This window comes from Homo sapiens, chromosome 6 (genome assembly GCF_000001405.40).
Source record: "Homo sapiens chromosome 6, GRCh38.p14 Primary Assembly".
Taxonomy (NCBI): domain Eukaryota; kingdom Metazoa; phylum Chordata; class Mammalia; order Primates; family Hominidae; genus Homo; species Homo sapiens.
In genome coordinates, this window is record NC_000006.12 from 129250587 (window position 1) to 129266394 (window position 15808).

At 35.6% G+C, this 15808-nt stretch overlaps 1 protein-coding gene across 2 annotated transcripts in view, besides 1 other annotated feature; it reads left to right on the forward strand.

Annotated features, from left to right (window-relative positions):
- LAMA2 (laminin subunit alpha 2) overlaps positions 1-15808 on the forward strand; it is a 633429-nt gene that overhangs the window by 367449 nt on the left and 250172 nt on the right. For both annotated transcript variants that reach the window (NM_000426.4, NM_001079823.2), the window contains exons 14-15: positions 1498-1709; positions 10125-10236. In NM_000426.4, coding sequence (NP_000417.3) covers positions 1498-1709; positions 10125-10236 — 324 coding nt within the window. The remainder of the gene's footprint in view (positions 1-1497; positions 1710-10124; positions 10237-15808) is intronic.
- Positions 1062-1266: a silencer, noted in NCBI's record as "fragment chr6:129572793-129572997 (GRCh37/hg19 assembly coordinates)". NCBI's record gives its function as "represses an EF-1alpha promoter that drives an FKBP-Casp9 reporter gene in an ReSE screen in HepG2 liver carcinoma cells {active_cell/tissue: HepG2}" and the evidence as "EXISTENCE:reporter gene assay evidence [ECO:0000049][PMID:32094911]".

Here is a 15808-nt window from a genome sequence, read left to right on the forward strand (position 1 = left end):
AGATAAAATAAAATGAAACAGGAAACTTGTTTATTTAGCTATAGTTAAATCTTGACTTCAGAATCCTGTTTTAGGTAAGAAAGGTACAGGAGAAACTGCTTTCAAGATTTGAAGGGCCATAGGCAACTTCAAAATGCTCAAAGCCTGAAGTTTCCTTAGAGGCTCTCTGCCACCCTTTCTTATCATATCCATTCTTTCCAATAATGTATCTCCTCCCCTTGACACTGATACGTATTCAGAGGCACACACATACATGCATGTTCATTATTCCAAATGGGTAGATGTTAATTTAGCACCAGGCTCTGTTGTTTCCTGTCTTGAAACTTTCATGCATGTGAATCTATGACAAAATGAAAAATTCTTTTCTCAAAATGGACATTTTCCAGTATTGGATGAAGTGGTCTGCTCTCTCTCTTTCTGTCTCTCTCTTTCTCTCTCTCTCTGTCTCTCTCTTTCTCTCTCTCTCTCTCTCTCTCTCTCTCTCTCTCTCTATATATATATATATATATATATATATATGGCAACTAGATGTATACTTTGGAATTCCTTTAAGGTGAAAAGAGTTCTCTAAATGTAAAGTGTTGAGTGAAATTATTTAGCATTCATGTGAATGAACTAAGACAAGAAGGATTACCTAAGTGTCATAGGTCATTCAATATACTCCTTAGATGCCATTGTCCTATTTTGAGAATTAGACTGCAGTCTTTTTTGTTGTTTGTTTTTTCCCATGTAGTAAGTTCCTTTAAAATAATAGCTTAATTCAGTTTTAAGTTTCTTTCCCTATTGTTCTACACAACCCACATCCATCTACAGTTTGAAATATGTAACTTTCGTGCACTTTTTTCAATTCAAGGTGTTTGTAATCACATATATGTTTATGAGTTGTCAGGTAGCTATTATTTTAGTTAACAGGGAACTAAGGTCATGCCAAACCAAGAAGCATATGCTTCATAATGCATTTGGCTAAGGCTAATATTGAAATTGCATTGCCTTCCCTTCATGTATACCACAAATATATTCCCTGAATGACAGGGAAAGCCAACCTGAAAATAAAAGTCTACTAAGGCCGGGTGTGGTGGCTCATGTCTGTAATCCTAGCACTTTGGGAGGCTGAGGCAGGTGGATCACCTGATGTCAGGAGTTTGAGACCAGACTGGCCAACATGGCAAAACCCCCGCCTCTTCTACAAATGCAAAAAATTAGCCAGGCTTGGTGGCAGGCGCCTGTAATCTCAGCTATTATGGAGGCTGAGGCATGAGAATCGCTTGAACCTGGGAGGCACAGGTGGCAGCGAGCCGAGATCGCGCCGTTGCACTCCAGCCTGGGGGATAGAGCGAGACTCTGTCTCCAAAAAAAAATAAATAAATAAAAAATAAACATAAATTTTTAAAGTTAAAAGTCTATTGAGGGTGGAGGATACAAATATAGATATGTTTGACACTTTTGTACCCTCTTTTCAGTTTTACTCTTTTTTATTTCTTTTTTTTCCCCCTTTAGGGTAATGACTTGAGCATCAGCACAGCCCAAGATGAGGTGTACCTGCACCCATCTGAAGAACATACTAATGTATTGTTACTTAAAGAAGAATCATTTACCATACATGGCACACATTTTCCAGTCCGTAGAAAGGAATTTATGACAGTGCTTGCGAATTTGAAGAGAGTCCTCCTACAAATCACATACAGCTTTGGGATGGATGCCATCTTCAGGTAAAATCAAGAACTGCAGCTCCAACGTTCACACATTTACTTTGGGGCCAAGGTGCAGGAGCCGCCCCAGGAGTGAATTTTTTAAGGCACCTAGGATTTGCTGTCTTCAAAGAGCAGATAAGAACGGAGCCCTAGTTTTCTGAAAGATTTTTCTCTTAAACCTTTACAGTTTTAAATATGCAGAATAAATTTGTCTCGGTTTTTATTATTATTGATGATTCTTTCACAATTGTCAGAACATGTGATCAATAACGATTCCTATATTGAGAAATGTTATATTGGAAAATAAAGTCTCCTTTATGATGGCTCATAGCGTGGGAAGCTAAAAAGATATAAATTCCAGGGCACCCCTATTTGGAAAGTGGTTTTTAAAATATTTCCTTCCAGTAGTTGTTAACTAGTTTCTGGCTTAATAGTATATAGATTGTAATAAGAAAAGTAAGTCTTTTCATTTAAGTGACCACCCATCTCACTATAAAACACTTTAAGACTATAACAGCCATATGGTATAAAGGAAAGAATATGAACTTTGGAGCCAAACTGAATAGAAATTCAATAAGCTTTATTGCTTATTTTATGTGTGACCTTTGGCAAGTGATTAAGCCTTGAGGAACGTTTCTTTTCAGTGTAAAGTGGATATAGTAATGCCTACTTTTCAGGGTCTTTGTTAACATGATATGTGATCATTAGGAAAGTACTCATCACCTAGAACACTTTCAGTTTTTTTCTTGTTCTCCCCGCCCCCTTTTTTTAAAAGAGTGAACTACCTGACTTGAACCAAATATGCTCGGGTCTGATTAACTGCTGTAAGGCGGCTTTGTTTTTTTTATTTTTAAAACAATGACATTTTTATCTGACAGAATTTTAACTTCAACTGTGTCTGAATGAGCTCTTTACGCTTCTCGTTTTCTACTCTAATAATAAATAACACAAGGTGTCATAGGAACTTCCTTCTAAATCAGGTTAAGTTAGACATTCAAATGTGACCCCAGCCTGACAACCCGGTATACCTTTAATGAAAGCAATGTCTCCAATATTGGAGTTTTTATTGCTGACACCACCACCTCTCACCTCCCTGTCCCTCATCATTTCCCTGTGCTGCCTAGTTTGCCTTTCACTGGTAATATTTCAACTTAGTCTAATCATCATTACCATTTCCCAAAGGAGAGAACTGCAGAATCATAAACAGAACCATTGCCAAACAATGTACCTCTTTTGCATAGGCAATTCTTCTAGAAGCTGGGTTAAAATGCCATGGAGATGAGAAGCAGCACTTAGGAATTAATTATGTTTTTCACATTTAGCAAATAGAGGTTGTCATGATGTTTAAACAGTACAAAGAAATGAGTCCTCCAGCTTTCAAAATGAATGACAACCAAATTGACAAAAAAAGTGTCTGGGGGGCTTATATATTTTTGTCAGCATTGCTTTTCAGGCTAGTTAATACAAAGACATTTCCCCCTGATTTATGTTGGACAGTTTCAGTGTCTACCCGTCTTAAAATCACTGGTTTCATTTGCAGTCTTCTGAGGTTTCGCCATACAGGAGGAATGCATTCACAGCGCGGCTCTGTGAAATGACACAAGAGCTAATCCAAGTAGGTGGCTACTTTCTGTCACCTACATTACCTAAAGCACTGTGGTTCAATAAGTAAAAGCCAATGTCAAATTTGAAACTCCTACCCACTCAGGTGAGCTGAAAGTCGGCATGAATCTGGAGTCAGTCAGTAAGCTTGTTATATTTTATCTTTGATCTACTAGTAGATTGAGTCATATTTGTAAAACATCACTTGAATTGATTTCAACTTGTCTTGCACAGTAGGCTTTCGACTTGGTATACTGTTTGTGTACAAGCACAAGTAAATTGAAGCTCAACAAAAATTCATATTCAGACTTATTTACAGTGGATTTACTTCCATGGCAGTTCTTTCAGCAAATGGGCTTAGGTTCCTCCAGTTAGTTATATGATTAGATGGAATTGTATAACAGAAGGAGAACTGGACTGCGGGTCAAGAATTTTGACTTTTGTTTTCAACTCAGCTATTTAATAGTTGTAAACATAAGTATGGCTTTGACCTCTTTGGACTTCAATCACTTCATCTGTAAAATAAGGAGGAGGACAATTGCTCTGCCAGCTTCAAAAAGTCACCGCAAGAATTGAATTAGAGAGCTGCAAAAGCACTTGGCTAGTGGTAACCCAGCACACAAATATGAAGCATTTCTATCTTATCTACTTCATCCCAAAGGATCACATTTTCTCCAAATACCATTAAGACTTAGAGACCTCTAAAGAAAGGCACATACTGGCATTTCCATACATATGACAGTTCTTACTATCATTTTTATCCAGAATGCTGAGACCCATTAGATAAAATTAATTTATTTTCTTCTCGCTGTCTTCACTAGGAAGATGAAGGCACAAGTAGAAAACTCTTCATTCTTCTTTTAAGAATATAAGAGAAATCAACCTAACTGAACTGTGCATCTTTCACCTTTAAATTATCCAAGACTTGGATTTAGTAACATCCTTGGTCTTTAAATCAAGAAAGGCTTTTATGAAGCACCTATATTAGATATAGAACTCTGCACAAAGTGTATTTTCCTCTAACTTTACAGTAGACATTAGTAGAGTTCACCAAATTTCCAATCTCATCTATAGGGGATATTGCATTTCTCTAATCCTGGAGGGTAGATGTGTCACATGACTTGGTTTAGCCAATGAAATGTGGTAGAAATGATGTATTTTTTTTTTTCCTGAGGTAAACATTGAATTTCCAATGTGAGACTCTCTGCAGCTTACTCAGCAATCAGAAGATTAAAAAACAGCCTGGGGCCGGGCACGGTGGCTCATGCCTGTAATCCCAGCAATTTGGGAGGCTGAGGCAGGCAGATCACGAGGTCAGTTGTTCGAGACCAGCCTGACCAACATGGTGAAACCCCATCTCTACTAAAAATACCAAAATTAGCCAGACATGGTGGCACGTGTCAGTAATCCCAGCTACTCAGGAGGCTGAGGCAGTAGAATCACTTGAACCCGGGATGTGGAGGTTGCAGTGAGCCGAGATCGCGCCATTGCACTCCAGCCTGGGTGACAGAGGGAGACTCTGTCTCAAAAAAAAAAAAAAAAAAAAAAAAAAAAAAGCCTGGAATACTGATTTAGCACACAGAGGTCAGCTGCCCTAACAGTCACCCAGGCCTGTAGAGGATTTTACATGAGTAAGCCTTTGTTTTCTGTTAAGCCATTGAGATTTTGGAGTTGTTACCACAGCATAACCGAGTCCATCGTGACTTCATCACGATATAACTCATGAGTATTGCTTGAAAATAAATACAGAATCTTTTCAAGGCAAGATATTTTTACACAACTTTTAGTGTAAATTTTGCGGTTTGGGATCAAAAAAGATTATACAGAATTTATATAATAAATAATCTAGAAAAATTCCTTTGTAAACAAAGGAGTCTTTGATAATCATAGAAATAGTATTGATAGGTACACAGTATACCTCTGCCTTCTGAAGTTAATGATTTGGGTAACTACATTTTGAAGACATTTTACTGATAACACTAGGACTTAAAAAGATTTTTGCAGCTCACTTGGCATCCGGCCATTGGTAAGAGGTGCAGCCAACATTTTACCCTACGTTTCCTTCCCATTATCTTTGACTACCTCCCAATGCTATTCCATAAGTGTTGGATTCGTTCAGTCTGCAAATATTTACTGAGCACCTTCCATGATTATCTCTGTAAATCTCAGTTCCTCTTGTATACAATGGCAGAAACAATGTCTAAATTTCAATTGGCAATTAAGTGAAAACATAATGTATGTTAAGCACCTGAAATAGTATCTAACATATGTTGGGAGGCAATGCAGGGTAACAAGGAGATCTTTGGTTTTGGAGTCATGCTTGGGTTTGAATCTATGCTGCACCCTTTGCTAATGGTATTATGTTGGACAAGGCTCTTTACTCCTCTGAGCCTCAGATTCTTCATTTGTAAATGTGAATAGACATGGGTTGTTACATTGTTTATTGATACTTAAATGAAATGTCTTTCCAGCCTGTATCATAGTACACAGAAAATAGTAGACAGTAAGTAGTAACTATTAAAAAGCAGTCATTCTAGGCTAGGCTATAAGGATACAAAGGTGGACAAATGATCATTCAGTTCAAAGAAGGCATTGTACAGTAGAGAAGACAGATATACATATACATACTGTACATTTATGATAATATAAATAGTGCAGAAGAAGTGTGCACAATGCATATAAATAGTGCAGAAGAAGTGTGCGCAGTGCATACTGGTAGAACTAAGAAGGAAGCAATGAATTCTTGTGTTAGCATTTAATACACTTTTAATAAATAGCTGCAAAAGTATCAGTTTCTGTCAGTTACTGCTCTTACTCGATGTGGGATTGAAAATGTTTAAAGAAAATATCTTGCTATATATATATAAAAAACAAATTATATAGCATATATATATATATATATATATATATATATATATATAGTGGGTAGAAAAAAGACAATTGTAACATCAAGGGTATTTTTGTTGTTTTAAAGTGTCATGTTTTGTGCTGGTTGTTTTAGTGTAATATAGCATATCTTACTCTGGTGGGAAATGTAGTAAAACAAAAATATTGAGAACAATCTTTAAGGCAGCACCAAGACAACGTTTCTGAAATAGTTCCAATATTATTCATAGTGGCTTGTATAATTATGTCCTCTCTCTTCATCCATCATCTTTTCTGTATTTTCAAGGCATAAAAATAAGAGGGAAGAGTCAGCTAAAGCATTTGACTTAGTTGACAATTCTTTGATAGCTCATGCATCTCTAAAATTTAGTACTATATTATTGCCAACATTATGTATTTAAATGAATGCAGCTTGATATCAAGAGAATGACCATACTGAAGGGGAAAAAAAAATAAACTGCAGCCTTCTTCATGAGTAACACTTGAAACTGTTAAACACATTAAAATCCCATTTAACAAATAGCAGAACCTAATGAACATTGGGATTGCTCAGTGAGTACTAATGTGGAATATTACTGGGAAAGATGTTTGAGTGTTGAAGTTTCTCATAGCTCAGAATGGTTACACAGATTAAGGAGAGGAATGTCTGTTGTTCAAAAGACAAATGAAATTTGTCAGTTCACTGAAAATATTTTTGTTTTTGTATCTTTTTTAAAACTGTTTCTTAAAGTAGTCAACTGCTCATTCTTCTATTTTGAAATTTCCAGAACTCTTTGTTTAAGTTTTGCATGTCAATTTTATATGAGAAATTCTTGGACTGTATCTAGATACAGTTAATCAATCTGCTGTTTAGTAAATTGTGGTGATCTATTGTATGATAATCAACTAGTGTATCAACCATGAAATCATCTAATTCTGAAATTAAAAGGATCAGAATTATAGGTTTATCAAGTGACAGTCCATTAATTCCAGGCAGTTAGATTTCACAATACATTCAGGCGAGTTCTGGTCTCTGGCCTCAAGTTCTAATGATAACAGTTTCCATTTATCTTCTATGTCAAATCAAACAAGTAATTTGTCTTTTACTTTTCTGATTTTATTCATCTGAAATGTGGCTAGTAGTCTTTATTGTATCCTTTGCCATGGAGTTTGTTAGTCATTGTTTGTAATAGAACTGTTTTCCATTCATCTATTCATTTATTATTTAAGTATTTAGTCAGTTACTTTTGTATACATTTATCTGTCTATCTACCCATCCGTCCACCCATCCATCCATCCATCCATTCATCAATTCACCCATTCGACAAAAGTCTACTGAACATGAACATGTATGGAGATGATCATCCTGCATATATAGATGGCAAGATAGGTTTCTGTTCTCAAGGAGTAGCCCATAAGCTCATGCCAACATAAGTACTGGCTTTAGTAACTCTTCAAAACCCCGTTGTGTTAAGGAGACTTATCAGGCCCAGAAATTCTGTTTCTAGATATATATCCAAAAGAACTGAAAATAGGTATTATGTGTTCATGAATATGAATAGCAATATTATTTATGATAGCTCGAAGGTAGAAACAATCCAAATATTCATCAACTGATGAATGAATAAACAAAATGTGGCATGTACATGCAGTGAACATTAGTCATTAAAAGGAATGAAATACTGATACATGCTGCAATGAAGTTATCTAGAATAGGTAACTTCATAGCAACAAAAGCAGATTGTTAGTTTACAGGGGTTAGAGGAAGAGGGGAAAAGAGAATGACTGCCTAATGGATTCTGGGTTTTCTTTTGGGCTGATAAAATGTCTTAGAATTAGATATATGTCGTAGTTGCACAACATTGTAAATGTACTAAATCACAGAATTGTACAATTTATTTTTTAAATTTTAAATAGGTTTGAAAATTTTCATCCTACCCCAAATGTCAAAGTTCCTCTCTATGTACAACTTGAAATGCTTAATTTTATATGATGTGAATTTCATCTAAACTAATGACAAGAAAAGTAAATGCCTGTGACACTGCATTTTTCATTGACAGGGTTCCTCAGTGAGGGGGGAAAAAAGCATTTAATGATTTTCAAATGACACATGTAACCTAAACACTATAGGACAGTGATATTTGCCTAATCTAGAACCTTCTACCAGGTTGTCCAAGATGTGCCCCTAGAGAATATAGCACTCAATTAATAGTGTTGGATGAGTTTATTTACAGGTAAAGATAATTGCCTTGTGTTTAGAGGGTGCCATCTGGCACTCAGCAGCCAGGATGATTCCATCCAACTGCCTATATCTGGTGATTTCAGGGTTAATTTCCTTTTCTGCTTCCTGATCATATATGAGCTCATACATATTCAAAAGTACTGTCAAGTGTCTAGGATTAGCAAAGTGGGGGTAAAAGCAATGAAAATTTTAGAAATCTATTGCTGAAAAGCTTACAATTTGGATAAAGATCATCACTTTTGAAGATATGTTTACACCTTGTAATGAGCCTTTTAGCTTTGCTCTCTGGCTTGATTCCCAAATTCCCAGCATTGATTCCCAAATCTAACAAGTTATTTGGTAATTGTGAATCACTGATCAACAAAAATCTACCATCACTCCTGAGAAAGGAACTGAAAAATGCAGGCCATAGCGAGAATCAGTTGCTTCTTTCTTATGGTTACAAGATGCCATATCATATGCTATAAAATGTCTATCGGTAATTTTTAAAACTGTGATTATTATGAGTCAATAGTAGTCATTTAATTATGTGCTCTTAGAGTTTATTTAAAATTTATTTTCATGCACTAAAATGATTTGGAGATACAAATAGTGAAAAGTATATTTCTTGTAATGTTTTGTAGTAATTTTTATTTGGTTTCAACAGTCAATGAAAATAGGTTAATAAAATGTCTAGTATTTCATAATAACCTACTGTGTGTTACATATTATACCAAGAAGTTTATATTCATTTCCTTTTAAATCAAGCTCATGGTGTATGGACTATTATATTATCTCCATTGTATAGAAGAAAAAATTGAGGCCTAGAAAGAATAAGTTATTTTCTTCTAGGCCACAAGGCTGGTAAATATCAGAGACAGGATATAAATCTTGGTCTATTTGACTCACAAAACTGTATTCTTAATAATTAAGCTTTTAAGATGTCCTTTTACACAAAAATAGGAAAAGCAAGTAAGATACCAATAACATTTATTTAAAATGTGAATGCATAGTAAGAAAAGAAATATGTGTGTGACAGCATTTTTTTCCAATTTTCCATTTGGCCAAACCAGCTTTTCTCTAAAATAATGAGTTATGCCAAATCACTCTGCTAAAATCACCAGATTGTACAAAAGTACCAATAAAATGAAGGCCATAGATACAGAGAACAATGGATTTAATTTAGGCCAAAAACAAATTCCAGAGATCATTCTAAGTCAGTCAACTGAGCACTTTGAGAAAGTTTAGCTTATACCAACTACAAACAAGCAGATTTATCTCTAAGAAAAAGAAAACAAAATTGTTTCCATCTTTTATTTCAATTTAAAAGCTAAGATGGAATATTAATATTGCCTACTTCTGCTTTCCTTGTTTAAGCACTAAAAGAAATCAAGCAGTCATTGGAATGTTTTCTTTTTTAAAAGACCCTTTAACTATATGATTTTAAAAATGTCTGTCTCCAAAAAATGAAAATCAAAACACATAGCCAAGAGCCAAGAGACGAGGAAGAACATTCTCATATCTTTTCAGCATTTGGAGGTGGTGGTGATTGTGAGCACTTTAGACTGAGCCAACTTGACCTAATATGACAAAGGACCAGAGCTTTTGGTTATGGTATTCATCAGCTTCCTTTCTCAGCATGCATAATTGGCTTATATTTATGTCATTGTTGCTGTACGATTCCTACAGCTGTATAATACCTAAGAACTTTACTTATTCACCATCTCTTTTTTCCTCTGCCATAGGTTGAGCTCTGTTAACCTTGAATCCGCTGTCTCCTATCCTACTGATGGAAGCATTGCAGCAGCTGTAGAAGTGTGTCAGTGCCCACCAGGGTATACTGGCTCCTCTTGTGAAGTAAGCTTGCAAGAATGTATCCTTAGTGCTTTCAAAGTTCCCTCAACATTGCTTTCAATAACCTATTCTAATAAGAGCTGTTTTTTTTCTATCAATAATTACACAAATAATGTGTATCACTTAAAAACAAAACTTGAATATCTACCAAAAGCTGTGGCTTTCAATTAGAGTATTAACCACATAATTTCATTTTGTAACTCTTTCTCTCTGAGATATTTTGCCTATAACTGAAAATCTGATGTTTCTGTCTTTGCTACATATTTGATCTATTGTATGCTGGATGGTAGCAGAATAGCACTTCAAAATATTTTCTCTTCATTTTCATCATAATGTTATCCAAAATTTAGCACTCTATTTTTTTTTTACTTTTCTCTCATTTTTTAATTCTGTATCACACTTTTCCTCTACTTCATTTCTAAGAATACAACCAAATCACAATCATCTGAAGCATATAATCTTCAGAATGTCAAGAATATAATATATGGAAAAAATACCTTGATATAGAAAACTGCCTACAGGTCTTTGATTTGTTTAGCACCTAATGTTTGAGATATTTATTGTTGTCTCAATATCCTAGATTTATAATAAGATTAATGGTTCTTACTTAATACCGCAGTGTGTCATCCTAAGGTAACAATTTTTATTTGCTTCTGTGTATTTTCTTTTACACAGAAAACTGGTGTGAAACTGGTTTTACTTGAAACCTGGTCAAAAAATGTGAACACTATTTCCTTGACAGAGCGCATGGCTAGCAGATAAATAGGAGCTTAGTTTCTTTAAAATGGTGCCTTTAAGGAATCATTTGAGTGTACTGAGATGTTCCACTTCAGAACACTACCTCATTATGCCATTTATAGAAATACTCTAGGCATTGCTTTGTCAGTTCTCTCGTACTTTTAAAATAATGCATACATCTAGAGATACGCATTATAGTCATATTCATGACAGCTGTGTTTCCTTTAACTGAGCTCAGATTCACCTTTCTAGAAATAAAACTAGATATAACTTATAGAAGTACTTGCTTTTCCAAAATTCATGTAGATGAGAGAAAAATAATTATGGATATCAATTAGCTATGTCAACCCAAATTTGATTTTACATATAAAATACACAATGTATTTGATGAAACAAGAGCCTTTTGCTCTTGATTCCAAACTATTTGAACTTTTAAGATCCTCTCTCAATTGGCATAATAAATAACTTAATTCTACTCTTGTTTTAAGGCTTGTTTCCACATACTTTGTTCTCATCCTTTGCATTATCTTTTATACAAATTCTAAGTGCCCACTGAATATAAAATTACTTGAATATTACAATTGCTTAATTGGCTATGCTTTTAGTCTCTTCCTTCTCTCCTTCAAAAATATTTTCAATACATTCTAGATATGTTTGATAAATTCTGTAAATTTACCTGTATAAATTATTAATAAGTACATACAACATAATCCCTGTCCTATCTGTTTAGGGAGACAATAAATATCTATGAAAAATGGGATCTCAGCACTGTATAATTAAGGGAGAGGTATGTGCTACAGAACATACATGCAATAATCATTCAAAGGGATGAGCTACTGCAGTGGAGAGAGATGCAAAGTGTCCTGGAGTGGAGAAATCTTAAATTGGATGCTAAATAATGGTAACAGATAGATAGAAGCATTTGAGTGTGAAAAAAAAAGGAGAGATAATAAAAGCTTCCTGTATCTGTCACACAATAATTGTTTGATAAATAAAATTACTTTGTAATCCATAAAAGAACTTAATTGAATCAAGAGACAATGAATTTTGGAACTTTGGATTTTCTCTCTGACTTCTTCATTTCTTCTACTCTCTAAAATTCATTTTTTCCTTATCAAAACTTTCTGTCCCTAAATTCACTATTATTCAGTCCTATCCTTTCATTATTTCATTTGCTTTTCAATTAAGTGTAGTTTGTAAGGCCAGTCATTCTAGCCTTGTTATCACTAATATCCTGGGATCCCTTAAAAGCTGAGTAAACGCCAAAGACCATTAATGTCTTAATTCCAGCTTGCTGAGAACCTCTGGCCAAAAAAGGATCAAATGACTCCATTGTAGACATTCTCTTTTACTTCATTTGGGGCCATAGTGTTGATTCAGGATCTTTTTTCTCATTTCTACTTGACTTCTTGTGAAGTGTTCTGCAGTTAAATCTTTCAAAAATTTTCTTACTTTCATAGTGCTGTCATCATAGATTTCACTTGACAGATGAGACAGGGGATATACTATTAAAAAGAGTGTTATGCAATCTCAGTTTCTTCTTCCATGAAATGAAAATAATATTAACCACCTCATAGAATTGTTTGTTTGTTCGTACTTTCATTTAGCTGACTAGTATTTGATGAGCGTGTATTTTGAGACAAACAAGACCCTACACAGGGAAAATAGTGCCATTAACAATACAGATATTGTCCCTGTCCCCAAGGACGTTGCACTGAGTGGTGGCATTAACGATATGCCAGAAAGCAAATAGAAATAAACGTGACAAATTCTATGAAGGAAATAAACAGGGTGAAATAAACAGGGTTCTATGATAAAGTTACTGCAAGTGGTTGTATGAAGGTTAGAAAGTCTACTTTGTAAAAGTTTGTCAGGAAAGGCTTCCTGAGGTGGTGACAGCTAAATCGAGTGTTGAAGAATGAGAGGGACAACGATGTAAAACCAGCTGCTAAGGAAGCAGCATAGATCGTGGAGTCTGTAAGGACTGGAAAGAAGGAGCGTGGCTGGAGCCTTGTAAGCAAGGGGAAAAGTGGGACAAGAAGTGATTGGAAAAGCAAGGCCATGAGGAGATTTGCACATATGATAAGAAATGAGCATTTTATTCTCATGGCATGGAACATCATTACAAGCCTTTCAGCAGAGTAGTGGAGTAGTGTAATCTGATTTACATTTTTGGGTTTTGGGGTGTTTTTTGTTGTTTGAGACAGGGTCTTGCTCTGTCACCTAGGCTGGAGTGCAGTGATGCTGTCATAGCTTGCTGCAGCCTCAAACTCCTGAGCTCAAGTGATCCTCCTGCCTCAGCCTCCTGAGTAGCTGGGACTACAGGTGTATACCACCATGCCCAGCTATTTTTTTTTGTTTGTTTTAATAGAGACAAGATCTCAATATGTTGCACAGGCTGATCTCGAACTCCTGAGCTCAAGCAATCCTCCCACCTCAGCCTCCCAAAGTTCTGGGGTTACAGGCATGGGCCAACGCACCCAGCCTGAGTTACATTTTTTTGAAGAAGGCATTATGGCTACAGTAGGAAGAATGTGTCTTAGGAGGGCATGAATAATAGGAAGGAGAAGGGTTAATATGTAGTTGCAGTGGAACACAGCAATGACAGTAGTTGCTGTTAGGATCATGGCAGGGAATATAAAAAGAGTTAGCATATTCTATATATATTTTGATAGTAGAACAAATAGGACTTACTGATTCGAGACTGTATGTCAGGGGAGAGATTAAAGAAATAAAGAGTTTAAGAATGAGTCATAGATGACCAGTTTGAATGATTGATCAGTTGGTTGTGGTGTCATTTACTGAGCTGAGGAATAGTTGGTGTGTGTGGGGGGGTGGGGGCATGGAATCCATAGTCCAGTTTAGAAATTTTCGATTTGAAAACGCTGTGAAGTGTAAATGTCAATGTGTATTTATAATATTCAGGTCTTAAATTCAGCATGTCTGTCTGGTCTAGAGATATGTTTTTGGAAGGCGTCATAAACTATGGAACTGAATAAAATTACCCAGGAGAAAGTGCAATTGATTTAAAAAAGAGAGAAAAATAGCCCAGCCCAAGCCCTGAGGAGCTCCTGACGTTAAGAAGCAGGGTCAAAGCAGAGGAGACAGCAAAGAAATATGCTAGAAATTTGGGAAGTGTGATGTCATGAAGTTGAGAAAAGAAATTGTGGGAGGAAAAGGAGTCAGCTAGGCCCAAGGCTGATGAAAGGTTGGATAAAATGCAATTGCAGAATTGTCCATCGAATTTGGCTGCATGGAATTTGGTGACAAGGACAAGAGCAGTTTTAATTGAGAGGTGGTGACACAAAACAGATTAGAATGGAATGAAGTGTGAAAAAGAGGTGAGGAATATAATACTTGTTAAGAGTAGTGTTACTGAAAAGAAAAACATAGATGACTAGAAAAGTTATATGAGGCTAAGAGGACAGTTTTGTCATTTGTGTTTTGTTTATTTTTGATGGAGACACTAGATCATATTTTTTTGTGCTGATAGTAATGACCCAGTAGAAGGGAAAGTTATTACTAATCCATCAGAGAGAGTGAATATTGAGAAGATAACAGATGCTGGAATCAGATGACAAGTGGAGTAATATTTCTTTAGGAGGAAGGACCCCACATTCCCCACATCACTTGTTTGGAATGGGAATATGGCAACAAGGTTTGGAGATATATGCTTAGATCTCTGGACTTGTTAGTGCAAAGGCAGCTTTAATTTTTTTCTGTGAGTAATAAGTTAAAATCACTGGCTAAAAGAGAGGTGTAAGGAGTTGGGAAGTTTGAAGAAAGAAGACGTGGTATGAGTACTGCATTTGCAGAGTATTAAAACAAAACAAAAAAACTTATTAAGGAAAACTTCATGAATATCTGTCTGAAAACAGTAGATTAGTTCTCTCCCTTTTCTCAACATCCTTAATTTCTACCCCCTTATGAATATGTAGCTTCACCAGCTTTTAAAAATGTATATTACAGAAGGAAATCACTTCTATAATGAATCTAGGGAGGCAAAAAATGTAATGGGGAGAAATGGGAAGGGATTTAATTGGGAGAAATGGAAACGGAACAGGATAGAAATTTGACAATTTTGGGTTGGTTGTGGGGGTTGAAAAATGAGAACACATGGACACAGGGAGGGGAACATTATACACTGGGGCCTGTCGGAGGGTGGGGGGCTAGGGGAAGGATAGCATTAGGAGAAATATCTAATGTAGATGATGGGTTGATGGGTTCAGGAAACCACCATGGCACGTGTATACCTATGTAACAAACCTGCACGTTCTGCACATGTATCCCAGAACTTAAAGTATAATAATAATTTTGAAAACAAATTTGACACTTTTTTTGGTACTGTTCAAATTAAGGGGAAAGTTCATTTTATTTTATTTTCAGATATAAAGTATCAGTACATAAATTTTTTTATGTGTTCATTATTGATGTTCAAATTTGAGAGTCCTCATATCCTGAGGCAGAAGGAACATTTCCACGGAGCATAACACAATTCTATATCCTTTATTACTTCAGTGGTTTCTCTTCTGTTTTCTTTTTCAACTGGAAAAGAAGGGCTTTTCATGATATATGATGTTGTACTCGACCATCCAGAAATATAGTAAATAACCCACAAGATGCAATTTCACTGGAGGGTGATCATAAGCTCTTAGAGGGCAGCAGTATTTGCCTCATGCTTATTTTGCATCTCATCCATTTTGTAGTAATCCCCACAGATGGAAAACTTAATTAAGGATGATGGGGAACTTAGAGCAGGCACTGACACAGGGAATCTAAGACTAAAATACCCTGTTTTAATCAGAATTCAGTTTTTATATAATAAAGTGTTTCACAT